Consider the following 27,103-nt stretch of genomic DNA (forward strand, 5'->3'; position numbering starts at 1 on the left):
CTGTTGACCTTGCGGTTAGAAAAGTTGTTCTTCTGCTTAAATGAAATGATCAGTTGTTTGTAGATTACCAAATATAAAAGCTCTTCAGAACCGCTAATGATAAGTTGCTTTGGCTTCATAGAGGAACGCCATGGTTTGTGGTGGTAAATTGTTACAGAGCAAATGTCAGTACCAGAGGCGGTCATGGATCACCACGTGGAAGCAGGTTGTTCCCACATGAGATTGGTAGCGAGCCGGTGCTGCATCTGTCTCCTTTCCCACTGCATCCTGGGTGCCTGGAGCCTCACAGGGTTGACCCGTGTTGGGGGTGGGGATGGTTGTAGAAGCCTCTTTATTTTTACTTGTGATAGATTCTGGCACTGATTAGAATGTTTATTCAGTAGTTTTTTTCCTATCCGCCTGAGTTTTCATAGCTCAGTATAGGATAACATGGGCTTCGGATTTTGTCAACCAATCAATTATATAGTAGCTCTTTTGTTTTGTTTTTAAAATTTATTTCTATTTATGTATTTATTTATTTATTTTGAGAGAGGCCCTTGCTGTGTTACCCAGGCTGGAGTGCAGTGGCATGATCATAGCTCACTGCAACCATGAACACCTGGGCCCAAGTGATCCTCCTGCCTTGGCCGTCTGAAGTGTTAGGATTACAGTGTGAGCCACCAGACCTGACCTTTGTTTTGTTTTAGTAGCTACCTCTTGACTAGAAAAATAGTTTAATCTTGGCCTCCTTAAAACCTTTTCATTGATATTTTTTACTCTGCTAGAACAGTTCAGTTTTTGCATGTCTTCAAGTGAACATGCTTTAGTATTAATTCCATGGAAGCCATTTCTGTAGAATAGGCTAGTGTCCAGTTTTGTCCAGTTTTCCTTTTGGAGCAGTGTCTCAGGCACAGAAATAGTCTGGGCTTGGTGGACCCCACCCCAAAGTGTCACTTCTTTTCCTCTGGCCTTGCTCTCCATGCCCGCCTTTCTCTTCTGATGTTTTAATGATACCCTCCCTGCTCGGTGATTTGTGTTCAGGAAGCTAGGCAGTGATTACTTTTGTTTCTGCTTTGTGAACTTCCTCCCCCACTTCCTATTTTTACCGCAGTTGCACAGGAAATGAGGCGGCTCCTGGCTGGCTGCTGCTAAGCAGTGATTTTAGGTGGCAGAGGACAAGGCCTCAGGGCCTGAGCCATTTAAGGCATTTTCCACCTTAATCTTTTCACTACCTTCTTCCTCTAGGAGTCATAGGAACATGATTTTGTGATTGGGTTGAGGTGACATCATGTCCTCAGCCTTGTGGGTGGAGACAGGGGTTGCTGTTTAGTTGGAGGACAGCACTTTTGTGAAGGAAGTGAGGGCTTTTTTCAGCAGTAACAATGTGGGTGGAATGTCGTGGCCCTGTGGCCTCTGCAGCTTGAGGGAAGGTTAAGTTGAAGGGACAGGCCCTGTTGCAGGTAAGGATAGGGAGGTGGATTCTGGTTACTCTCTAGAGGGCCTTGACTGGCAGCTTGAAGTGAGCTGAGGAGCCTAGTCTGCTCTCTCAGATCTTTGAGGGGGGCCTCAGCCTCTATGGCACCCTCCTTCCTCTGAACCCATGGCATTTGTTTTCTAAACGACTTATTTAGCATTTATCAGTCTCTTTTTTGATGATGCCTCTTCTTAGCTTATGGACCCGTTATAGCTTAATTTATGGAGAAAGTTTGTATCATCTCCCCAGAAAGAAGTAACTTGTTATACATTAGTTAACTTGAATATGGAAGGTGCTCAAAGCATTAGTTTATCGGAGATTCTTAAGAGCTGCACTGTTGACATTTTGGGGTAGATAATTCTTTGTAGGGGCTGTCTTGTGCATTATGGGATGTTCAGCAGCACTTCTGGCCTCTACCCACTGGATGCTACCCACTAGCACTTGCCCAGGGTGACAACCAAAACATCTCTAGACATTGCCAGATGTTGGTAGGGCAGAGAAGGACACAAAATTATACTTTTCCCCACTTGTTGAGAACCACTGTGTTAAAGAATTGAATTACTAATTACTAACTTATAAAATGGAATAAAGTAGAATGTTTGGTTCCCTGGGATTAAAGCCATTTGTTAGTTTCTATTTTCATATCTGACATTCTCATAATTCTTAGTTTGCTACTTAGAGTATGCTGTGCTCTATCAGCTTCAGCTAGTGTTCAGGTATACCTTCTGTGCACTTTCTTTTTTTTTTTTTTTTTTTTTTAGATGAAGTCTCACTCTGTTGCCCAGGCTAGAGTGCTGTGGCGTGATCTTGGCTCACTGCAACCTCTGTCTCCCGGGTTCAAGCGATTCTCCTGTCTCAGCCTCCCTAGTAGCTGGGACTACAGGTGTGTGCCACCACACCCAACTAACTTTTTGTATTTTTAGTAGAGACAGGGTTTCACCATGTTGGCCAGGCTGGTCTCGATCTCCTGACCTCGTCATCCACCCGCCTCGGCCTTCCAGAGTGCTGGGATTACAGGTGTGAGCCACCACGCCCGGCCCCTTCTGTGCACTTTCATTGAAAGAACTAGGAGCTGGGCGCGGTGGCTCATGTCTGTAGTACCAGCATTTTGGGAGCCGAGGCAGAAGGATTGCTTGAGCCCAGGAGTTTGAGACCAGCCTGGGCAATGTAGAGAGACCCCATCTCTACAAAAAATCAAAAAATAAAAATTAGCTGAGCTACTTAGGAGGCTGAGGTGGGAGGTTCACTTGAGGGAGGTCAAAGCTGCAGTGAGCTATGATCGTGCCACTGTGCTCTAGCCTGGGGCATGGAGCAAGTCTCAAAAACAAAAACAAAAACAAAAACAAAAAAACTAGGGCCTGAGCCTTTGGCAGGCTGGCTTCTTGTCCTCATAGAAGGCATTCTGTCAGCTTCTGTGCCTTGATATTGCTTGCTCTGGAAGTCAATTTCCTTGGAAGCTGAGTAGTGCAAGGGTAAGGAGGAAATGAGAAACATTTAGGATATAATAATAATAGGTAACATTTATGGAGCAGTTGCTGTAGAAGAGGCACTGTGGTGAACAGGATTGACAGGATTGAAAGGACAGGCTAGACAACAGGACGGGGACCATCTGGAATAACACCTTAAGTTTGGGTTAAAAGTTGGTTGTGCCTTTGACCAAGCAAGGCAGTAAATATAGCAGGAGGAGTGGGAAATAGAAAGGTGACAGGGTAAAACTTTTTTTGAAACATAGTCTTGCTCTGTTGCCCAGGCTGGAGTGCAGTGATGCAATCTTGGCTCACTGCAACATCTGCCTCCTGGGTTCAAGTGATTCCCAGATAGCTGGGATCACAGGCGCCCACCACCATGCCCGGCTAATTTTTGTATTTTTAGTAGAGACAGGGTTTTGCCATGTTGGTCAGGCTGGTCTCAAACTCCTGACCTCAGGTAATCCACCCACCTTGGCCTCCCAAAGTGCTGGGATTACAGGCGTGAGCTACCGTGCCCTGGCCATGAAAGGGTAAAACTTGAAGACCCTGCAGAGATGTCTCCTGGGTCTGGTCCTTGGAGAGGGAGGTCTTGACTGGAGAGTTGAATTTGGGAATCATCAGCAGTGATACGGAGTATGATCTCCTAGAGAGAGGTCACTTTTCATTGCTCCAGCTCAGCTTCTCATCAGTTCCAAGAAGCTGGAAGCCTTAACCATCTTCTAGGAGTGGTAAGCAGAGTGCCATGGTCTGGATATTTGACAGAGGTGGGATGGTGCAAGAATGGAGAGCTCAACCTGTGGCAGCAGATTGCCATGTCCCAGACCTAGCTGTGTGGTGACCACTACCTTAGCCATGTGGTGAGAACATGAAGAACTCACTTCATCTTATTAGATGCCTCACCTACCTTATGGGGTCATTGTGATAACCTTGTAATTTGATAACACGGCCAGGTGTGATGGCTTACGCCTGTAATCCCAGCACTTTGGGAGGCCAAGGAGGTTGGATCACTTGAGGTCAGGAGTTCGAGACCAGTCTGGCTAACATGGTGAAAACTGTCTCGACTAAAAACACAAAAATTAGCCAGGTGTGTGACGCACACCTGTACTCCCAGCTACTTGGGAGGCTGAGGCTGGTCAATCACTTGAACCCAGGAGATGGAGATTGCAGTGAGCCGAGATTGTGCCACTGTACTCCAGCCTGGGCTTAACAGAGCAAGATCCTGTCTTGAAAATAAATAAATAAATATGATAACATGTGAAGTGCATAGCACAGTGCCTGGCTCTTACCCACAGTTAATGTCAGCTGTTTCAAGATATTTGATATCTAAAGCTCCAAGTATAATGCTTGGCACGTCATAGACACTTAGTGACTGGTCCATTTCTTTGGGGAGTACTTATGTGGACGTGGCATGTCTTCACTAGCTTATTTATTTATTTTAAGCAGAACCTTATTTCTAGCATCTAACTACTGCCTCCGTGGTTGGCAAGGGTGACTTCATGAATGTTGTAAAGGAATACCATTAAATAAGTACTGAGGACAAACTAATAATTCAACAAATATTTGTTAAATGTTTACATCATGCTTAGCACCCTTGGATGTTTTGAATGAGCTCAGGGGTCCTGGGGGTTGGAGGTGACAGGGAAACACAGAGCAAACCGGCAGTTGTGATCTAGCATGTTATGCTTCAGTAGAGTTAATGTTAAGGTGGGGCTAAAAACAGGGTGTTACGGCAGCAGAGGAACCCCTCGCTCAGTCTGTCAAAGTGGTTTCTCAGAAGAAGTGATGCCTAAGTTAGACATCCAAGAGGAATGAGAGTGAGCCAAGAGAGCTTTCCAGACAGTAGAAATGAAATGTGTGGCCAGGTGGCGAGAAGGAAGATGGCACATGTAGGAAGTGGGTGGTGTTGGGGCGGTGTAAGAAAATTGGGAAGGGTAATGGAGAGCCATAGTGGATTTTAAGCGCAGAGTGGTGTGATCACATTGATTCTAGAGTAGTCACACAGCATCCAGAGGGGAGTAGCCCAGGCATTTGGAAGATCACTCAGGAGGCGCCTCCATAATTCAGGCAGGAGGTAAAAACAGTAGCTTTGGTACGGCAGTGAAGATAGAAGGAAAAGGACTTGAGAGATACTAAGAAGGCAGGAAGGGGCCGGGCATGGTGGCTCATACCTGTAATCCCAGCATTTTGGGAGGCCGCGGCGGGTGGATCACCTGAGGTTGGGAGTTCGAGATCAGCCTGACCAATATGGAGAAACCCCGTCTGTACTAAAAATACAAAATTAGCCGGGTGTTGTGGTGTATGCCTGTAATCCCAGCTACTCAGGAGGCTGAGGCAGGAGAATCGCTTGAACCCAGGAGGCGGAGGTTGCAGTGAGCTTAGATCGCACCATTGCACTCCAGTCTGGGCAACTAGAGCGAAACTCCGTCTCAAGAAGGCAGGAAGGATAAGACTGTGATTAATTGGATGTGAAGGAGAGTGAAGAGTAGAGGATAACTCCCAGGTTTCTGCCTTGTTCAAGTAGGCAGATGGTGATGTCATTTGCCAAGACTGGGAAGGCATATTGAAAGACTTGGAAGATTTGGTTTTGGACTTTTGATTTTGGGACCTGTCCACTAGGCAGTTGAATATTTGGGTTCTGGAGCACAGGACAAAGATCTGGGCTAGAGGGATGGATTTGGGAATCTTCCCAGAAGGAATATGTTGCTCTTAGAAACAGAGAGGGCATAGCACTTAAGGTCTATCAGAGGAGGAGTAGCTCAAAGGGGCAACTAAGAATGGCCAGAGAGGTATGAGGAGAGCCAGCACTAAGCGTCTTTTCGTGTTAGCAGCTTACAGAGTTGCTTCACTTTGTAATGTGGTAACAGATAGAGGGAGCTAAAAAAGTAGAGTTCTAAGGAACGTCCGAGCAAAGCACTGAATTTTCCAGGCATTTTCTCTTGCCTGGATAGATATTTTAAATTTATGAATGTTGAGAATAAAATTCTTCAAAGCATTTTTCTAGAGTGCATTTCTAAATACGGTTTGAGTCAGTCTGAACTGACTAAAAACATGGAAATGGTTGGGCTTTGAACTTCATAGACAATAACTTCACTAATCTGCCTAAAGAATTTCCTGTAGTGTCTCCACATTATCAAGGGTAGATATTTGGATTTGCATTTTTGTGGATTGGAGAGGACAGAACATTTTCTGTGTTTTTTTTTTTTTCCTCAGAAGAGGGAATTGTTTAGGAATGATTCATCTTTATATTTTTTGTAACAGCTTTATTGAAATATAATTCACATACCATACAGTTTATCCATTTAAAGTATATAAATTGGTGGTTTTTAGTATGTTCATAGTTATGCAACCATCATCAATTTTAGAATATTTTCATCACTCTGCAAATAAACCATATACCCATTAGCAGTCATCCCTTATTTCCCCCATTCCACACCCCCACCCCCAGCCTTAGGCAACCATTAATTGACTTTTTGTTTCAATGGATTTACGTAATTGGTACAGTTCATATTAAGGGAACTTTGGGTCTGGTTTCTTTCACTTAGCATAATGTTTTCAAGGTTCATCCATGTATCAGTACTTTATTCCTTTTCATGGCTGAATAATATTCCATTGTACAGTTATACTACATTTTGTTTGTCCATTTGTCAATTGATAGACATTTGAGTTGTTTCCAGTTTTTGGTATTATGATAATACTGCTCCAAACGTTCATCTGCATGTTGGTTTGTAGACATGTTTTTCATTTCTCTTGGATATATATACCTAGGAGTAAAATTTCTTGGTTGTGTGGTAATTTTATGTTTAACCATTTGAGGAACTGCCACTGTGTTTTCCAACATGTCTGTACCATTTTGTATTACCCTGAGCAGTATATGAGGATTCCAAATTCTCTAACATTTTGTCAACACTTGTTATTGTCTGTTTGATTATAGTAATCCTAGTGGTTGCGAAGAGGTATCTCATTGTGATTTTGATTTGCATTTCCCTGATAGTTAGTGATGTTGACTGTCTTTTCATATGCTTATTGGCATATCATCTTTGGAGGGTTCATCTATATTTGTGTTTTGTTTGTTTTTTTTTCTTTAGAGATGGAGTCTTGCTCTGTCTTCCAGACTGGTGTGCAGTGGTGCCATCTTGGCTCACTGCAGCCTATGTTTCCTAGGTTCAAGCAGTTCTCCTGCCTCAGCTTCCTGAGTAGCTGGGATTACAGGTGTGCGCCACCACGCCCAGCTAATTTTTTATTTTTGGTAGAGATGGGGTTTCGCCATGTTGACCAGGCTGGTCTCATGCTCCTGACCTCAGGTGATCTGCCTGCCTCGGCCTCCCAAAGTGCTGGGATTACAGGGGTGAGCACCTGTGCCCAGCCCATCCATATTTGATCATCAGTTTTGGCAAGGTAAATTAAGTTGCAAAACCTGAAACTTTAAAGGAACAAACATAACACATTTGATTGTAGAAATGAGGGAAAAAGAGTGTGTGTGGGTATGTGTGTTTATGTACATATGTGTATATGTACAGTGGAAGATGCCATAAACAGATTTGTAAAAGTTAAAGGACAGGCTCCCCAGAGAAATAGCCAGTGTGCTCCATCCACATCAAGCCTGAGTGTGAGAGAGTTCTGGATAATCCTGTTACCTGGCTGTGACTTTGGAAGTGGAGACCATGATCTCTGCCTTCTCCCTCATATCATCTGTCTTAAGGTCACAGATACCGCAGCCACTGCCAGGTTTCCACAAGCCAGTCACCTTTCAGGTGGAGAAGTAGCTTGCTATAGCAGCCAGTTTCTCGAGTTTGCGCGACAGTGCCACTGGAACAATGGCTCATTCATGTCAGATTTCCAGAGAGTTGGGCAGCACACTTGTGAGAATCCAGCTGTGAACAAGCCATTGCTGTCTTTAGGAGCTTATGTGCCAGGTGGTAAAGTGTACATATGCAAATAAAATGGTAAGATGATTGCAAGTTGTCATGAAGATAAGACAGCATTGTAGGGGTGAGGTGACCCTAGATTAGACAGGTTGGCTGCAGAAGGCTTCTCTGAGGGTGTAACACTTGTTTTGAGAGCTAAAGGATGAACGGGAGGAGCATCATGAGTAGGAGGGAGGCAGGAGCTTTCTGGATAGAGGCAGCAGCGTGTGTAAAGAGCTTGGGGCACTAGAAGAACTGGAAGATAAATGGTGTGACTGCAGAATGATGAGTGAGACTCAGGAGGCACGACATGAGGCTGGAGAGGTGGGCAGGGCTGTGCAGGTCTCAGTAAGGAGTTTGATTTTATTCAAAGTGCCAGGGACCATTGGATATAAATTCTTCATAAACTGCATGCAGAAGAGAGATTAAAAGGTTGGCAGAAAGGAATAAAAATGAAACTGGAGGACCAAGCTGGTAAAAATTGCCCCCAAGGGTCTATCAGAATCCTAACTCACTTAGACCAATAAGATCAGTGGTTACTTATGAACAATACGTTTGAAAAGACCTATGAAAAAACACGTGAAATTTGGAGTTTCTCTGTCTCTCATGTTTCCTGTAAGTAATTCGCTAGATATAGAGACTCGATTAGATTTTGATTCAGTATTTTAGGCAAAAATATTTTTTGGGTGGTACTGTGTACTTCCTATTTTGTCACAATGATAGGCATATAATTATATGTTTAGTTCCCCACTTTAATGATGCTAAAATTAATTAGTGAGTTCAGGTGTTATGCCTGATTCCTTCATCATAAACTTCTCCATCAAGTTTCACCAAATCATTTTAACAGTGATTAATAATCATTGGCTAGATACACTATTTCATTAGAGTTGCAAAATAATAGTTTTCCTAGCATTTCTTCTTTATTTATTGGCTAATTTTCTTTGATTAAGCACTTTCCTAAATGGAGTATTCAAAAAAAAACTATATAAACAGGAAAAGCAGGATAAATGCTTGATTTCACCCCCCCCCCCCACCCCCAGCAGTTTTCAGAACAATAGCTTGGTGCCTTAACACCTCCACAGAGAGATGACCAATGGAATTTTTCTTAATATCATTATTGACTCACTTTTTTTATTGTGGTAGAATATGCATAACACAAAATTTACAGTTTTAACCATTTTTATTATACATTTCAGTGGCATAAGTACATTAACAATGTTGTGCAGCCATCACCACCATCCATCTCCAGAACTTTTTCAACATCCCAAACTGAAAGTCTTGGCCAGGCATGGTGGCTCATGCCTGTAAACCCAGCACTTTGGGAGGCTGAAGCGGGTGGATCACCTGAGGTCAGAAGTTTGAGACCAGCCTGGCCAACATGGTGAAACCCTGTCTCTGCTAAAAATACAAAAATTAGCCAGATGTGGTGGCATAAGCCTGCAGTCCCAGCTACTTGGGAGGCTGAGGCACGAGAATTGCTTGAACCCAGGAGGCAGAGGTTACAGTAAACCGAAATTGTGCCACTAGTACTCCAGCCTGGGTGACAGAGCAAGACTCCATCTCAAAAAAAAAAAAAAAAAAAAAAAGTCTTGCCTATTAAACAGTAACTCCCCATTTTCCCCTTCTCTCAGCTCCTGGGCACAACCTCTCTTCTACTTTTTGTCCCTAAAAATTTGACTATTTTAGGCACCCCATATATATGGAATCACACAGTATTTGTCCTTTAGTGTCTGGCATCTTAGCAGAGTATCTCCAAGGTTCATCCATGTTGGAGCATGTTATTAGAATTTCCTTCATTAATTTTTTTTTTTTATTGACAGGGTCTCTGTCACCCAGGCTGGAGTGCAGTGGTGCAGTCAAGCTTACTGCAGCCTCAGATGCCTGGGTTCAAGTGATCCTCATGCCTCAGCCTCCCAAGTAGCTGGAACTACAAGTGTGCACCATAATGCCAAGCTAATTTTTAAATTTTTTGTAGAGACAGGGTCTCGCCATGTTGCCCAGGCTAGTCTCAAACTGGCCTCAAGCGATCTTCCTACCTCAGCCTCCCAAAGTGCTAGGATTACAGGCATGAGCCACTGCTTCCAGCCTTTCTTCCTTTTTAATACTAAATAATAGTCCATTGTATGGATATACCACATTTGTTTATCTATTCATCTTCCATGGACATTTGAATTGTTTCCACCTTTTGACTATTATGAATAATGCTTCGGTGAACATGGGTGAAGAAATACCTGCTCACGTCCTTGCTTTCAGTTCTTTTGGGTAGATGCACAGAAGTGGATTTCCTGAATCACATGGTAATTCTATGTTTAATTTTTTAAGGAAGCACCATACTGTTTTCCACAGTGGCTGCACTATTTTATATTCCCACTAGCAATACACAAGGCTTCCAATTTCTCCATGTCCTTGCCAGCACTTTTTGTTTTGTTTTGTTTTTGAGACAGTGTCTCGCTCTCCGTCCCAGGCTGGAGTTCAGTGGCCCATTGCGATCTCGGCTCACTGCAACCTGTGCTTCCCGGGCTCAGGTGATCCTCCCACCTCAGCCTCCCAAGTAGCTGGGACCACGCCTGGCTATTTTTTTTTTTATTTTTAGTAGAGACGAGGTTTCTCCATGTTGCCCAGGCTGGCAGTGGCCAGCACTTATTTTCTGTGTTTTGTTTATTTTAATATTAGCCATCCTAATAGGGTATGAAGTGGTATCTCACTGTGGTTTTGATTTGCATTTTCCAAGTTATATTATTCCCTAGTTGTACTGTCTGTTCTTGCCTTACTGTAAAGAAATACTTGAGACTGGGTAATTTATAAACAAAAGTGGTTTAATTGGCCGGGCGCGGTGGCTCACGCCTGTAATCCCAGCACTTTGGGAGGCCGAGGCGGGCGGATCACGAGGTCAGGAGATTGAGACCATCCCGGCTAAAACGGTGAAACCCCGTCTCTACTAAAAATACAAAAAATTAGCCGGGCGTAGTGGCGGGCGCCTGTAGTCCCAGCTACTTGGGAGGCTGAGGCAGGAGAATGGCGTGAACCCGGGAGGCGGAGCTTGCAGTGAGCCGAGATCCCGCCACTGCACTCCAGCCTGGGCGACAGAGCGAGACTCCGTCTCAAAAAAAAAAAAAAAAAAAAAAAGTGGTTTAATTGGCTGTACAGGAAGTATGGCAGCATCTGCTCCTGGGGAGGCCTTAGGGAGCTTTTATTGGTGGCAGAAGGCAAAGCGGAGCAGGCATCTTAAATGGCAGGAGCCAGGACCGAGAGAGAGAAGGGAGGTGCTGCCCACTTTTAAACAACCAGGTCTCATGAGAACCCACTCACTATTGAGTACAAAGGGGAAAATCCACCACATGATCCAGTCACCTCCTCCCAGGCTCCACCTCCAACATTGGGAATTACTATTCAACATGAGATTTGTGTGGGGACACAGATTTAAGCTATATCACTAGTGATTAGTGATGTTGAGCATCTTTTCATGTGCTTATTAGCTGTTCGCATATTTCTTGGGGCAAAAGTCTATTCAAGTCCTTTGCCCATTTAAAAATTGGATTTTTGTGTTTGAGTTGTAGGAGTTCTTTATATATTCTGGATATTAATTCCTTTTCCCATATGTGATTTATAAATATTTTCATCTATGGATTGCTTTTTGCTTGTAATGTCCTTTGATGCCTAAAAGTTTTGATTTTGAAGTCCAGTTTATCTGTTTTTTGTTGCCTGTGCTTTTCGTGTCCTATCCAAGAAATTATTGCTAAGTCTGAACTCAGTAATTTTTATATATTTAATGATTTTCACCCCTAAATGGTTATTCTTTTTGATGCTTAAGTTGTCCCATTATTGATCGTTAATGGCACTTATTTTTCGGGTTTTCTAGGTGCTTTTGACATGAGCCTAGTAGTGTTATATGAGTTCCCTGCTTTCTGGCTTTACAAGAAGTCCGGGGCTTATCGGAAAAATTTCTGATCCCAGATCCAGAATCAGCCATTTCTTTAACTAGTTCTGATTCTTTTTGGTGGGAAATGGTATTAAGGGCATTCATTACAATTAAGATGTAAATTCCAGTAGGTTTTTTTTTTTTTTTAGTAGAACTAGGAAATACATACTTTTTGGAAAGAAAAAGATACACCATGATTTCAGACTGATTTACTTCCAATTCAAATGAAGGATTAAAGGATTTTTATATCTTTGATTTTATATTTGTCTTTTCTCATTTGTTGACAGTAACACCAGAGGGGTCCAGTCAAAACACGATTTTATTGATTGACCGATTGATGGAGACCACCTCACTCTGTCGCCCAGGCTGGAGTATAGTGGCGCCATGTTGGCTCACTGCAGCCTCCACCACCTGGGCTCAAGTGATCCTTCCACCTCAGCCTCATCAGTAGCTGGGACTACAGGGATGCACTACCATGTCTGGATAATTTTGTTTGTTTGTTTGTTTTGAGATGGAGTCTCACTCTGTCACCCAGGCTGGAGTGCAGTGGTGTGATCTCAGCTCACTGCAACCTCTGCCTCCCGGGTTCAAGTGATTTTCCTGCCTCAGCCTCCCTGGTAGCTGGGACTACAGACGCCTGCCACTATGCCTGGCTAATTTTTGTATTTTTAGTAGAGACGTGGTTTCACCATATTGGCCAGGCTGGTCTCAAACCCCTGACCTTGTGATCTGCCTGCCTCTGCCTCCCAAAGTGCTAGGATTACAGTCATGAGCCACTGCACCTGGCCAATTTTGTTTGTGTGTTATAGAGATGGGGTCTCACTGTGTTGCCCAGGCTGGTCTTGAACTCTAAAGCATTCCTCCTGCTTTGGCCTCCCAAAGTGATGGGATTACAGATGTGAAGCACTACACCTGGCCGAAACACAATTTTAAACTTGAAATAATTCTTCTCTGTGTGGCTGTGCCACTAATTTGGTAAATAATATAGATTCATTTGTCTTTTGTTTCATTTTTAGGGATATTTTTCTTTTTTATATTTGCTTTTTGCTTATATATTTACGTAGTTCTAAAGATAAAACCATAAGTAAGATAGATTGAAAGAAGTCTGGCTTTCCTCCTTGTCTTTGTTCTTCTCTATACGTTGTAGGTAAACATCTTTGTTGGTTTTTGGTTTATTCTCCCATGGCTTATTTTAAAAGCTACAAGCGTGTGTGTCTGTGTGTTTCTGTATTCCCTATACCTTACTTCATTCCCATTTTATTTCTTCTCGTTTTTATCTTGGCAATCATATTTCTTATTTCCAAGAATTCATTGTTGATTTCTACTTCCTTTATGATTTGTTTGCTTTTGGTTTTTTTTTCTCCCCCCGAGATGGAGTCTTGCTCTGTTGCCTAGAGCTGGAATGCAATAGTGCGATCTCGGCTCACTGCAACCTCCGCCTCCTGGGTTCAAGCAATTCTCCTGCCTTGGCCTCCTGAGTAGCTGGGATTACAGGCGCACGCCACCACACCAGGCTAATTTTTGTATTTTTAGTAGAGACGGGGTTTCACCATGCTGGCCAGGCTGGTCTTGAACTCCTGACCTTGTGATCTGCCTGCCTTGGCCTCCCAAAGTGCTCGGATTACAGGCGTGAGCCACCGTGCCCAGCCCTGCTTTTAAGGATGCACTATCTTTCCAACACTGTCTGAGGAATACCAGTCAGAATTTCTTTTCAGGTGTTTTTTCTGGGACCTAAAATATGTATTTCTTCTGAGGTCTGATCACCTTTTCATCTTAGTTGTCCTTTTTTGTCCTTTTGGTTTTCCTTCACTGTCTGGTGATCCTTATCAATGAAGAACTGGGTTGTTCATATAGGTAATTTGCAGGAGGTCCCTCTGTTTTTCAATAGTCCTCTTGCCTTAGTGAGAGTTGGCTGATTGAGGAATGGGAAGTACAGATGAAATCAGGTTGATTAACTGGTTTCCCACTCCTGATTTCTCTACCTGCTGATTCAAAGCTGGGCATTTATCCAGCTCCTCCAGGAAAAAGGGCTCTGCCTCTCTGTTCTCTTTTGGCCCTGCATGTTGTAAAAAGTGGCCAGCTTTGCTCTGGTCTGTCTTGTAATATAGTTTCCTCTGCTTTCTCTCCATCCTCTAGAAGATGGCCTGCAGTTAAATAGACTGTGGCCCTCAGACCTTCTCATTACTGTTTTGCTGAGATTCCCTTGTGAATGTCTTTATTGTTATGTCACTGGGATTTGGGGAGGATGGAGAGGTAAGTGCACTTGCCTGTTTAGCCTGTCGTTTTGAAATGAAACTCCTTTTGTCATCCCATTTCTGACAGTAGGACTGCTTGCCACTCTCTTTTCTCTGTTGGTTTAAGGACTGAAGTGGATCTAAAATTATTCTCTGTATTCACAAATCATAGCTATCAATCTTTAGTCAGATGGGAAAACTTAATTAATTAATTCAGGGACTAAATTTCTCTTTATAGCTGCATAGTCCATGTAAGTAGAAGTTAGTTATCAATGAAGTGTGTGATGCTTCCTGCCCTGCGATTGGTAGATTTCTATTTGGTTCAAGGATTGGGTAACTTTTCAAGACCTTTCCTGTTTGTCAGTGACTTTTTTCCAGAGAAGCAGAAATAACAAGGCCTGCTTCCTTTGCTTGCTTTGTGGGAATGATAATATCATCATCATCAAACATTTAGTGCTTAATATGTGCCAGACATCATTCTAAGTGCTTTATATGTATAAACCCATTTAACTCAATAACAGTGGTTACTATTATCCTTATTTTATAGATGATGAGACAGGCAGAGAGAGGTTAAGGAACTTGCTCAAGGTCAAGCTGATCCTGACAGCCAAGATCTCACCCTATTAGTCAGACGCCCAGGGCCATTCTCTTCTTCACTTCAATCGTCTTATCTTTCTAAAGGGAAGTGCTTCAAGAGATTTTCTTAGGATGGCTGACCACTTTTCATGTCTTGTCAACCATAGGTATAAGAAAATCCTCTAATACTGAGTCTTCATCTAGTTTCTTTCTTTCTTTCTTTTTTTTTTTTTTTTTTTGAGACGGAGTCTCACTCTGTCACCCAGGCTGGAGTGCAGTGGCATGATCTCGGCTCACTGCAAGCTCCGCCTCCCAGGTTCATGCCATTCTCCTGCCTCAGCCTCCCAAGTAGCTGGGACTACAGGCGCCCGCCACCATACCTGGCTAACTTTTTGTATTTTAGTAGAGACGGGGTTTCACCGTGTTAGCCAGGATGGTCTGGATCTCCTGACCTCGTGATCCGCCCGCCTCAGCCTCCCAAAGTGCTGGAAGTGCTGGGATTACAGGCCCGGCTTTCTTTTTTTTTTTTTTTTTTTTTTTGAGACAGTCTCACTCAGTCACCCAGGCTAGAGTGCGGTGGTGCAATCTCGGCTTACTGCAACCTCCACCTCCCAAGCGATTCTCCTGCCTCAGCCTCCCAAGTAGCTGAAATTACCGGCATGTGCTACCACGCTCGGCTAATTTTTGTATTTTTAGTAGAGACAGGGTTTCACTGTGTTGGCCAGACTGGTCTCAAACTCCTGGCCTCAAGTGATCTGCCCGTCTCAGCCTCCCAAAGTACTGGGATTACAGGCATGAGCCACCATGTCTGGCCTTCGTGTAGTTTCAAGCATGTCCTTTATTGCCTGAAATAGAAATCGCTGATGACTCTAATTGTAGAAATGAATATTTTAAATGATATAATTATGGCTGAATTCAGTTTTAATCTGTGGAGAACTTTTGCAAATTATGTTGAAAAGATGTTACTTAAAATGTTCTTTTCTGCTATGTATTTGATTTTTTAAGTAGCATTAAAACTTAAGAGTACATGACAAATCTCACAAGTCTTGGCTACACTAACTTCTGAGGTCTTTCACAATGCGTATTTATTTCCATGCAGCATGAATAGTGGATTCATAAATGGTGAATGTTTTCCCAGTGAAAATTCTTTTTAAGAAAATACGGAAAAGAAATGTCCTTAAATGGTTTGAACATATTTTAGCCTGACAGGCAGATAAATATGAGGGTGGAGAAGCATGTGAAAAACATTTAGACAGCATTAAGAAGAATTTTATTAAAATAATGATAATAATAATAATTAGCTGGGCACGGTGGCATATGCCTGTAGTCCCAGCTACTGGGGAGGCTGCAGTAGGAGGATCATCTGAGCCCAGGAGGCAGAGGTTACAGTGAGCCGAGATCACGCCACTGCACTCCAGCCTGGGTGACAGAGCCAGACCCAGTCTCAATAAATAAATAAAAACAGAAATAAAATAATAAAATCCAGGTGTTCGTGTGTGTGTGTGTGTCTGTGTGTGCATTTTCAACATTTTGTTTCAGAAATGTTCAATCATATACAACATTGGAGCAAGTGATATGATGCACCTCATGTACCCATCACCTAACTTCCAACAGTATTTTGTCAGGGGATATTATGATCACTGCCATGAAGACAAATGCTTAGGTAGGTATTACCACCTTCTCTGTACATTGTTTCTTGGCAAAATGTCATTTGAAAATGATAGAACTCGGGCAGGCATGATGGCTCATGGCTGTAATCCCAACACTTTGGGAGGCTGAGGCAGGCGGATCACTTTGAGGTCAGGAGTTTGAGACCAGCCTGGCCAACGTGGTGACACCCTGTCTCTACTAAGAATACAAAAATTAATCAGGCGTGGTATCGGGCACCTGTAATGCCAGCTACTCAGGAGGCTGAGGCATGAGAATTGCCTGAACCCAGGAGGTAGAGGTTGCAGTGAGCCGAGATCGCACCACTGCACTCCAGCCTGGGCAACAGAGTGAGACTTCATCTCAAAAAAAGAAAAAAGAAAATGATAGATCTTGAATGTATTTCAGTTCCATGACCTTTTTTTTTTGTTTGTTTCATCGTGTTAGCTAGGATGGTCTCGATCTCTTGACCTCGTGATCCAGCTGCCTCGGCCTCCCAAAGTGCTGGGATTATAGGCGTGAGCCACTGTGACCAGCCAGTTCCATGACATTTTAAAAAAATTCAACACTATCTAGTTTTGATTACAACAAAGATCTGCACAGGAACACCAGATCTGTTAAGAATTAGCGAAAACTAGTTTACATGTTTTGAATGTTTTTTCTCTCTGCTTGGGTAGGAACCCCAGGCGTGACTGTGATACTTGAGCAGTCTTGTTAGAAGCAATTATGTTACAAACAGAACTTTTCATTGATCTGTGTAACCAGCCCCTTGGTTCTCAGAAAAAGAGTTGTGGCCAGGCACAGTGGCACACGCCTGTAATCCCAGCACTCTGGAAAGCCGAGACAGGTGGATTGCTTGAGCTTAACAGCCAGAGACTGGTGAAACCCTGTTTCAAAACAAACAAACAAACAAAACAAAACAAAAAAACTTATTTATCACTTTGGAAGGGAGGTGCCTTTCTGTATTATTATTATTTTTTGAGACGGAGTCTCGCTCTGTTGCCCAGGCTGGAGTGCAGTGGCATGATTTCGGCTCACTGCAAGCTCTGCCTCCCGGGTTCATGCCATTCTCCTGCCTCAGTCTCCCGAGTAGCTGGGACTACAGGTGCATCCCACCACACCTGGCTAATTTTTTGTATTTTTAGTAGAGACAGGGTTTCACCGTGTTAGCCAGGATGGTCTCGATCTCCTGACCTCTTGATCTGTCCACTTTGGCCTCCCAAAGTGCTGGGATTACAGGTGTGAGCCACCGTGCCCAGCCAACCTTTCTGTATTCTTTTTTTTTTTTTTTGAGACGGAGTCTGGCTCTGTCGCCCAGGCTGGAGTGCAGTGGCACCGGGATCACGCCATTCTCCTGCCTCAGCCTTCCCAGTAGCTGGGACTACAGGCGCCCGCTACCACGCCGGGCTAATGTTCTGTATTTTTAGTAGGGATGGGGTTTCATCGTGTTAGCCAGGATGGTCTCGATCTCCTGACCTCGTGATCCGCCCGCCTCGGCCTCCCAAAGTGCTGGGATTACAGGCGTGAGCCACCATGTCCGGCCTTTGTGTATTCTTGAATACACAGGAATATTGGTGAGAATCCCTGAGTTGCACTACAGTCGGCATCATCAGGCGTCCTCATTCTTGTGGCTGTCAGCAGATTTTCAGTGGACCCCCAGTTTGGCTCTCAAATTATAGCATACATCAGAATCATCTGGGGAACTTGTTAAAAAAGTGTATTCTCCAAAAAATTAGTCGGGCATGGTGGCGGGCGCCTGTAGTCCCAGCTACTCAGGAGGCTGAGGCAGGAGAATGGCGTGAACCCAGGGGGCGGAGCTTGCAGTGAGCCGAGATTGCGCCACTGCACTCCAGCCTGGGAGACAGAGCAAGACTGTCTCAAAAAAAAAAAAAAAAAAAGTGTATTCTCTGCTTCTCTCCCAAAGATTGATTCGTTAGATTTGGATTGCATCCCAGTAATCAGTATTTAAATAGTCATTCCAGGAAGGGTGCTATCCTGATTCTAGTATCAGAGAAGGAAGTCCTTAAAAGCCATTGTTGGTTTTCACTGGCTGCTACTAGGTTTTTTTGTTGTTGTTTGTTTAGAGACAAGATCTCACTATTTTGCCCAGACTGGACTCGAAGTCCTGGACTCAAGTGACCCTCCTGCTTTGGCCTCCCAAAGTGCTGGGACTGCAGATGGGCACCACTGTGTCCAGCCCTCATCCTAGTTTTACTAAGGTTGGTAGGTGGTGAAAAAAATTGCTAAAAATGTTTTCATCCTTTAACATGCTCAGTGAGTGTTATGACAACCCCACATAGACTTTTACTGCCTACAGACAGATTTACTGTCACAGAGGTTGTCTTAGTTCAGGCTGCTTTGACAAAGTACTATAGACTGGGTAGCTTATAAACAACAGAAGCTTATTTCTCACAGTTCCAAAGTCTGGAGGTTTAAGATCAGGGTGCCAGCACTGTCAGGTTCTCATGAGAACCCTCTTTCGGGATGCAGACTGCTGACTTACCATGTTCTCATATGGCAGAAAGAGAGTGAACTGGCCTCTTTTTATAAGGGCACTAATCTCATTTATGATGGCTGCACCCTCATGACCTAAATACCTTCCAAAGGCCCTACCTCCAGATACCATCACAATGGGAATTAGATTTCAACATATGCATTTTTGGGGAAACATTCAGTCCGTAACACAGGTGCACCCTTAGTTGTGGGCAATTCAGTTCTGATGCTGTGGTCTGATGACCACACCCTGACAACATAGGTGCATAGTGGGTAGTATGATTGCAAAGGATCTCGTGTTTTTCTCTGTGGTTCCACTAAATTCTTTAGTCCAAGCCTTAGGCCTCCCCTGCTTGGTCACCTGTTGGACCAACACTAGGTACAGGAAGTGCAGGAAGCTCAGTTTACAAAAAGTCATCTGGTGCTTCCAGCTGTATGTAGCTTCCTCTGAAAGAAAAGGAAGCGTGGGGAGTGTAGAAAGCAGTTAGTTCTTCACCTGAGGCTGCAGTTCCAAAACTGAATGGAAACTGTGGTGTTTGGGAAGTGTGTTTGACTAAAGTTTCCTTTCCTCAATTTCTCAAAGGAAACTGTGACTCTTCCCCCACCATCTTCCACCCCTTCAGTTTCCATACATACAAGAAAGAATGATGTCCTGGAGCAACCTCTGGAGAACAACTGTGGGGCCTCCCCATTACAAAACAGCCTCCCCTGTGTGCAATCAGAATTGCTTTCGTCTGGGCAGAACCATACAACACACAGCTGGGCTGTGTGGAGAGCTGTGGCCGACTGTAGGGCTTGCCCGCTAGTCTGTATTTTCCCCTACATTTCTCTACCTCTCATATAGTGGAATTGGTACCACGCAACCACCTCTGGCCTTTGATGGTGGCCTTTGACATGCAACCACCTCAAAGCCAAAGGGCTTTGAAGGGAGGTGATGTGTGTCACTTTCAGTGGGAAGTATTAAAGAGTGGGTATGAGTTTTGACTTTCTTTTTCTGTGCTAGGGCAACCATGGGAGACATAAGTTCTAGTAGTGTCCCTGTAAGCTGAAGAAGGGCTGCTAGACCCACAGTGAATTTTTGTGAACAAGAAGTAATCTGGGCTGGGCGCCTTGGCTCATGCCTGTAATCCCAGCACTTTGGGAGGCCGAGGCAGTCGGATCAGTTGAGGCCAGGAGTTCGAGACCAGCCTAGCCAACATGGTGAAACCCTGTTTCTACCAAAAATACAAAAATTGGCTGGGCATGGTGGTGTGTGCCTGTGATCTCCCAGCTACTCAGGAGGCTGAGGTAGGAGAATTGCTTGAACCCAGGAGGTGAAGGTTGCAGTGAGCCAAGATTGCACCACTGCACTCCAGCCTGGGCAACAGAGCAAGACTCCGTCTCAAAAACAAAAAGTAAATCTGGTTGGGCATGGCGGCTCACGCCTATAATCCCAGCACTTTGGGAGGCTGAGGCAGGAATCAGTTGAGGTCAGGAGTTTGAGACCAGCCTGCGCAACATGGTGAAACCCTATCTCTACCAAAAATACAAAAATTAGCTGGGCTTGGTGATGCATGCCTGTAGTTCCAGCTACTGTGGAGGCTGAGGCAAGAGAATCACTTGAGCTCAGGAGCTCAAGACCAGGTAGGTTGCAGTGAGCCAGGATCTCACCTCTGCACTCCAGCCTGAGTGACAGAGCAAGATTCCATCTCCAAGGCCAGGCATGGTGGCTCATGCCTGTAATCCCAGCACTTTGGGAGGCCGAGGTGGGCGGATCACAAGGTCAGAAGATCGAGACCATCTGGCCAACATGGTGAAATCCCGTCTCCACTAAATATACAAAAATTAGCTGGGTGTGGTGGCGCGTGTCTGTTATCCCAGCTACTCAGGAGGCTGAGGCAGGAGAATCGCTTGAACCCAGGAGGCAGAGGTTGCAGTGCGCCAAGATCATGCCACTGCACTCCAGCCTGGTGACAGAGCTAGACTCTGTCTCAAAAAAAAAAATAAAAAAAAGTAAATATTAGGTTAAGCCATTTATTTCAGGATTTGTTACTGCAGCATAGCTTGATCTGTCTGCCAGTTTGAAGTTCTGAGAGTCAAGATACCTGAGTTTGATTCTGAGACTACATGTGGTCTAGTGCAAGACCTTTAATGTCCTGAATCCCCTTTTTAATATATAAATTGAAGGGTTTAAGTTAGATGATCATGAAGGGCCTTTTTGGCACTTAACATTCACAGATGCTGGATGGCAGCACTCAAATGCAGATGTTCCTTGACTTATGATGGGAGTTTATGTCCTGATAAACCTCTCATAAGTTGAAAATATCCTAAGTTGAAAATGTAAGGACCGGGCGCAGTGGCTGATGCCTGTAATTCCAGCACTTTGGGAGGCTGAGGCAGGAGGATCGCTTGAGCTCAGGAGCTCAAGACCAGCCTGGGGAACATGGTGAAACCCAGCTCTATAAAAAATACAAAAATTAACTGGGCGTGGTGCTGTATGCCTGTAGCCCCAGCTACTCAGGAGGCTGAGGTGGGAGGATGGCTTGAGCCCAGGAGGCGGAGCTTGCAGTGAACCAAGATTGCACCACTGTACTCCAGCCTGGGTGACAGAGCCAGACCCTGTCTCAAAAAAAAAAGAAGAAAAGAAAATGCATTTAATATTCCTAATGTACCAAACGTCATAGCTTAGCCTTGCCTACCTGAAATGTGCTAAGAGGACTTCACTTTAGCCTGCAGTTTGGCAAAATCATCTACCACAAAGCCTTTTTTTCTCTCTCTCTCTCTTAGAGACAGGGTTTTACTCTGTTACCCAGGCTGGAGTACAAGGGCACAATTACAGATCACTGTAACCTCAAACTCCTGGGTTCAAATGATGCTCCCACCTCAGTCTCTGAAATAGCTGGGACTATAGGTGACCTGGCTAATTTGAAAAATTTTTTTGTAGAGGTGGGGTCTTTCTGTGTTGCCCGGGCTGGTCTTGAACTCCTGGCCTCAAATGATCTTTCCAGCTTGGCCTCCCAAAGCGTTGAGATTACTGTTGTAAGCCACCATGCCCAGCTACAAAGTCTATTTTGTGATAAAGTTATAAAGAAATTTGGATCAAAACTCAAAACTTGAAGTATAGTTTCTACTGAAAGCATATTGCTTTTTTTTTTTTTTTTTTTTTTTTTTTTTTTTTTTTTTTTTTTTTTTTTTGAGACAGAGTCTCACTCTGTCACCCAGGCTGGAGTGTAGTGGTGTGATCTTGGTTCACTGCAACCTCCGCCTCCCAGGTTCAAGCGATTATCCTGCCTTAGCCTCCCAGGTAGCTGGGATTACAGGTGCCTGCCACAATGCCCGACTAATTTTTGTATTTTTTAGTAGATACGAGCTTTCACCATGTTGGCCAGGCTGGTCTCAAACTCCTGACCTCAGGTGATCCACCCACCTCAGCCTCCCAAAGTGCTGGGATCACAGGTGTGAGCCACCGCGCCCAGCCGCATATTGCTTTTTTACCATTGTAAAGTAGCAAAACTGTAAGTCAAGCCATTGTAAGTCAGGAACCACGTGCACACTTTTCTGATTGATGTACAAAAAGGAGACTAAGTCTGGCACTAAAGTCATCCCTGGAAAACTTATTTATTATTATTAGTTTTTGCTATTAAATGAGAAGTTAGTTATGTGAAGAAAGTGACAAAGATGAAGTAATACTTTTTTAAAAATTAGTTTTATTGAGATATAATTCACATAATTAGTTTATTTGGCTCATGGTTCTGGGAAGTCCAAGGTCATGGCATTGGCATCTGGTGAGGGCCTTCTTACTGCATCACCCCAAGGCGAAAGGTGGAAGGACAGGAGAGCTCAAGAGAGCAAGAGATGGTTGAACTTCTGTAACAGATTCACTCTCACAATAAATTAAACCACTCCTGTGATAATGCCATTAATCTATTCAGGAGGACAAGAGCCTTCATGACCTAATCATCTCTTACAGGTCTCACGTCTATACACTATTGCACTGGGGATTAAGTTTCCAATACAAGAACTTTGGATGACATTTCAAGCCATAGCAACCACTATTTAACTTCAGAACATTTTCATCACTCCCCAGAAAAGCTGTACACATTAGCAAGGACTCCTCATTCCATAAATCTACTTTTTTTTTTTTTTTTGAGACAGAGTCTCACTCTCTCGCCCAGGCTGGAGTACAGTGGCACCATCTTGGCTCACTGCACCCTTCACCTCCAGGTTCAAGTGATTCTTCTGCCTCAGCCTCCTAAATAGCTGGGATTACAGGCATGTGCCACCATACCTGGCTAATTTTTTTTGTATTTTTAGTAGAGACGGGGTTTTACCATGTTGGCCAGGCTGGTCTCAAATGCCTGGCCTCAAGTGATCTGCCCCCCTTGGCCTCCCAAAGTGTTGGGATTACAGGCGTGAGCCACCGCACCCGCCCAGATCTACTTTTTTATCTGTGTAGATTGCCTATTCTAGACATTTCATATCAGTAGACTCATACAATAGGAGTCTCCTTGTCTGGCTTCTTTCACTTAGCACAGTGTTTTTAAGGTTCGTCCATATTGTAGCATTTATCAGAACCTCATTCCTTTTTATAGTTGAATAAATAATCCATTATATGTCTGTACTACATTTGTTTATTCATTTGTCAGTTGATAAGCAATTGGGTCGTTACTACTTTTGACTATTATGAATAATGCTGCTATGAACATTTGTGTGCAGGTTTTTGTTTGGACATATTTCTTCGTTTCTCTTGGGTATATACATAGGAATGAAATTGCTGGGTTATGTGGTAACACTATATTTAGCATTTTGAGGACCTGCCAAACTGTTCCATAGTAGCTATCCCATTTTACTTTATTTTTTTTTTGAGACAGCGTCTCACTCTGTTACCCAGGCTGGAGCACAGTGGCACGATTTCGGCTCATTGCAACCTCTGCCTCCTGGTTCAACCAATTCTCCTGCCTCAGCCTCCTGAATAGTTGGGATTACAGGCATGTGCCACCACACCCAGCTAAATTTTTTTTTTTTTTTTGAGTCTCGCTCCATCACCCAGGGTGGAATGCAGTGGCGTGATCTCGGCTCACTGCAAGGCTCCGCCTTCCGGGTTCATGCCATTCTCCTGCCTCAGCCTCCCAAGTCACCCAGCTAATTTTTGTATTTTTTAGTAGAAACAGGGTTTTGCCATGTTGCCAGGCTGGTTTCTGACCCCTGACCTCAAATGATCCTCCCGCCTCTGCCTCCCAAAGTGCTGGGATTACAGTCATGAGCTACTGAATTCGGCCCATTTTACAATCCTATATGCAATGTATGAGTGTTTTGATGTTTCCACATCTTCATCAATACTTGTTACTGTCTTTCTTACTGAAGTAATCAGTTTTGATAAAGCAGCCATATGGCAAACTAAACAGTGAAGAGATTTTTACATGCATATTAGCTTAAGTTGCTCTCTAAACAGTTGTAGTGTGTATTGGCGTATTTATAAAAATTTGCACTGTGAGCTTAGCACTAAAGTAAATGTTAATGACTAATAACATAATTCTTCAACTTGTTTAGCTTTTGGAAAATTTTTCATTTCAAAAATGAAGCACTCTTGAAGGGAAAAAAAGGAGTAAATAAAAAATGAGTTGTTTGATCCTCTCTCTCTTGATTCACCAGATGTAATTGTTCTCTTGGAGCATTTTTTTTTTTTTAAAGACAGATTCTCTGTTTTCCAGGCTGGAGTGCAGTGGTGTGATCATGGTTCACTGCAGCCTCAACTTTTCAGGCTCAAGTGATCCTCCCACCTTAGCCTCCCGAGTAGCTGGGACCACAGGTGCACACCATCATGCCCGGTTAATTTTTGTATGTTTTTGTAGAGACAGGGTTTCGCCATGTTGCCCAGGCTGGTTGAACTTCTGGGCTCAAGTGATCTGCCTGCTTTGGCCTCCCAAAGTGCTAGGATTACAGGTATGAGCCACTTTGCCCAACCTCTTGAAGCATAAACATATAAACACACACACACACACACACACACACACATATTTCTTTTTTTTTTTTTTTTTTTTTTTTTTGAGACGGAGCCTTACTCTGTCACCCAGGCTGGAGTGCAGTGGTGCGATCTCAGCTCACTGCAACCTCCGCCTCTCAGGTTGGAGTGATTCTCCTGCCTCAGCCTCCCGAGTAGCTGGGATTATAGGCACGCGTCACTACACCTGGCTTATTTTTGTATTTTTTAGTAGAAATGGGGTTTCCTTCTGTTGGCCAGGCTGGTCTCTAACTCCTGACCTCTCAGGTGATCCATCTGCCTCAGCCTCCCAAAGTGCTGGGATTACAGGTGTCAGCCACTGTGCCCGGTTGCATAAACTTATTTTTATAAATTATGTGCTTCTAAATTATCAGGTGGACTGTGCCTTACATGTATAGGCTTGAGTAGGCTGAGCATGGTGGCTCACACCTATAATCCCAACACTTTTAGAGGCCAAGGTAGGAAGATGGCTTGGGGTCACGAGTTCAAGGCCAGCGTGGACAACATAGTGAGACCCTGTCTCTACAAAAAAAAAAAAAGAAAATTAGGTGGGCATGGTGGTGCATGCCTGAGGTCCTGGCCCCTGAGGAGGCTGAGGTGGAGGATTGCTTGAGCCCAGAAGGTCAAGGCTGCAATGAGCCATGATTGTATGACTATACTCCAGTTTGGGTGACAGAGAGAGACCCCATCTCTAAAAGCAAAAAAAAAAAGTGAAATAAAATAAAAAATCGTTGCTATCTTTTATTAATATTCTGTTTTGGGAGACATTATTCTTATATTTTCCTCACACTTTTTAAATGTGGTTTCTTTTAGTTCTTTGAACATACTTAAATTGACTTAAACTCTTGTCTGTTAAGTCCAATATCTGGGCTTCCCTTGGGAAGAGTTTTCTATTGTTGTTTTTTCCCTTTATATGGGCTATATTCTTTTGTTTCTTTGCATATCTTCCAATTTTTTGTTGAAAACTGGACATTTTATTTTATTATTATTTTCAGACAGAGTCTCTCTCTGTCGCCCAGGCTGGAGTACAGTGGTGTGATCCAAGCAATTCTCATGCCTCAACTGCCTGAGTAGCTGGGACTATGGGTGGGCAGCAACACACCTGGCTAATTTTTTTTGTATTCTTAGTAGAGACAGGGTTTCACCATGTTGGCCAAGCTGGCCTTGAACCCCTGACCTCAGGTGATTTGCCCACCTCGGCCTCCCAAAGCACTGGGATTACAGGCTTGAGCCACTGTGGCCAGCCAACTGGACATTTTTAATGACATAATGTGGCAACTCTGAAAATCAGATTCTCCTCCCTCTCCAGATGAGCTCTAAGTCAGGTAAAATACAGAGATATTTGCAAATGGGGTATTTTGGGGAACCACCAGACAGGTTAAATAATGCCAATTTCCTGGGAATGGTACTTTGAAGGAGCTGTAGCCCAGTTCTGCTTCCTCTGGTAACTGCCAGTCTTCTGGTCTTCAATGTGGATGCAGCTGGTAGTTTTCAAGGCTATTATGGAGCTGGAGAGCTAGGAATGGGACTCAGTCAAGTTAAAATGCTACAAAACTCACTGTTCTTACCAGGATTCAGCTATTTATCTTTGATAAATTATCCCCAGTTTGCTAAAAGCCTATTTCCAGAGTTCTGAAAAAGGTGATTCTATTATTTTGCCAATTTTTCATTGTTTTTATGTAGTAGAGAATTTTGGTCAGGGAAAGTCCTTATTCTGCCATTTTTGATGATACTCTTTCCCTCCCCTTTTTAGGCTTTTATTTTCATGAATCTTGTATCTCTTGGTGTTTTGTTTTGTTTTGTTTTGTTTTGTTTTCGAGACAGGGTCTTGTTTTGTCACCCAGGCTAGAGTGCAGTGGTGTAATCATGGCCCACTGCAGCTTAAAACTCCTGGGCTCAAGTGATACTGCTCCCTCAGCCTCCCAAGTAGCAGAGACTACAGGTGCACACCACCATGACCAGCTAATTTTTTAAATTTTTTGTAGAGATGGGGTCTTGCTCTGTTGTTCAGACTAGTCTCAAATTCCTGGCCTCAAGCGATCCTCTTGTCTCAGCCTTTCAAAGTGCTGGGATTACAGGCTTGAGCCACTACACCCAGCCTAATTTTTGTATATGATGTGAGGTCGGGGTCCAGATTCATTTTTTCATGTGGATATTTAGTTGTCCCATCACCATTTATTGAAGAGACTGTTCTTTCCCCACTGGATGTTTTTGGCATCCTGGTCTAAAATCAGTTGACTGTAGATGTATGGGTTTATTTCTGGACTTCTAATTCTACTCCATTGATTTATACATCTTTCCTTATGCCAGTATTTCACTGCTTTGGTTACTATAGCTTTATAGTAGATTTTGAAATCAGGAAATATTACTTTTACAACATTTTTTCTTTCAGTATTTGTTTTAGTCATCCTGGATCCCTCGCTTTTTT

General features: G+C 43.6%; 1 protein-coding gene across 1 annotated transcript in view, besides 1 other annotated feature; it reads left to right on the forward strand.

The window, feature by feature from the left end:
* GARRE1 (granule associated Rac and RHOG effector 1) overlaps positions 1 to 27,103 on the forward strand; it is a 101,013-nt gene that overhangs the window by 14,502 nt on the left and 59,408 nt on the right. The window lies entirely within an intron of this gene.
* Positions 1,061 to 1,761: an enhancer, noted in NCBI's record as "H3K27ac hESC enhancer chr19:34761021-34761721 (GRCh37/hg19 assembly coordinates)". NCBI's record gives its function as "activates a minimal SCP1, AML or CMV promoter by ChIP-STARR-seq in naive H9 embryonic stem cells {active_cell/tissue: H9 hESC(naive)}" and the evidence as "EXISTENCE:reporter gene assay evidence [ECO:0000049][PMID:30033119]".

The sequence above is a fragment of the Homo sapiens genome, chromosome 19 (genome assembly GCF_000001405.40).
Source record: "Homo sapiens chromosome 19, GRCh38.p14 Primary Assembly".
NCBI classification, from domain to species: Eukaryota; Metazoa; Chordata; class Mammalia; order Primates; family Hominidae; genus Homo; species Homo sapiens.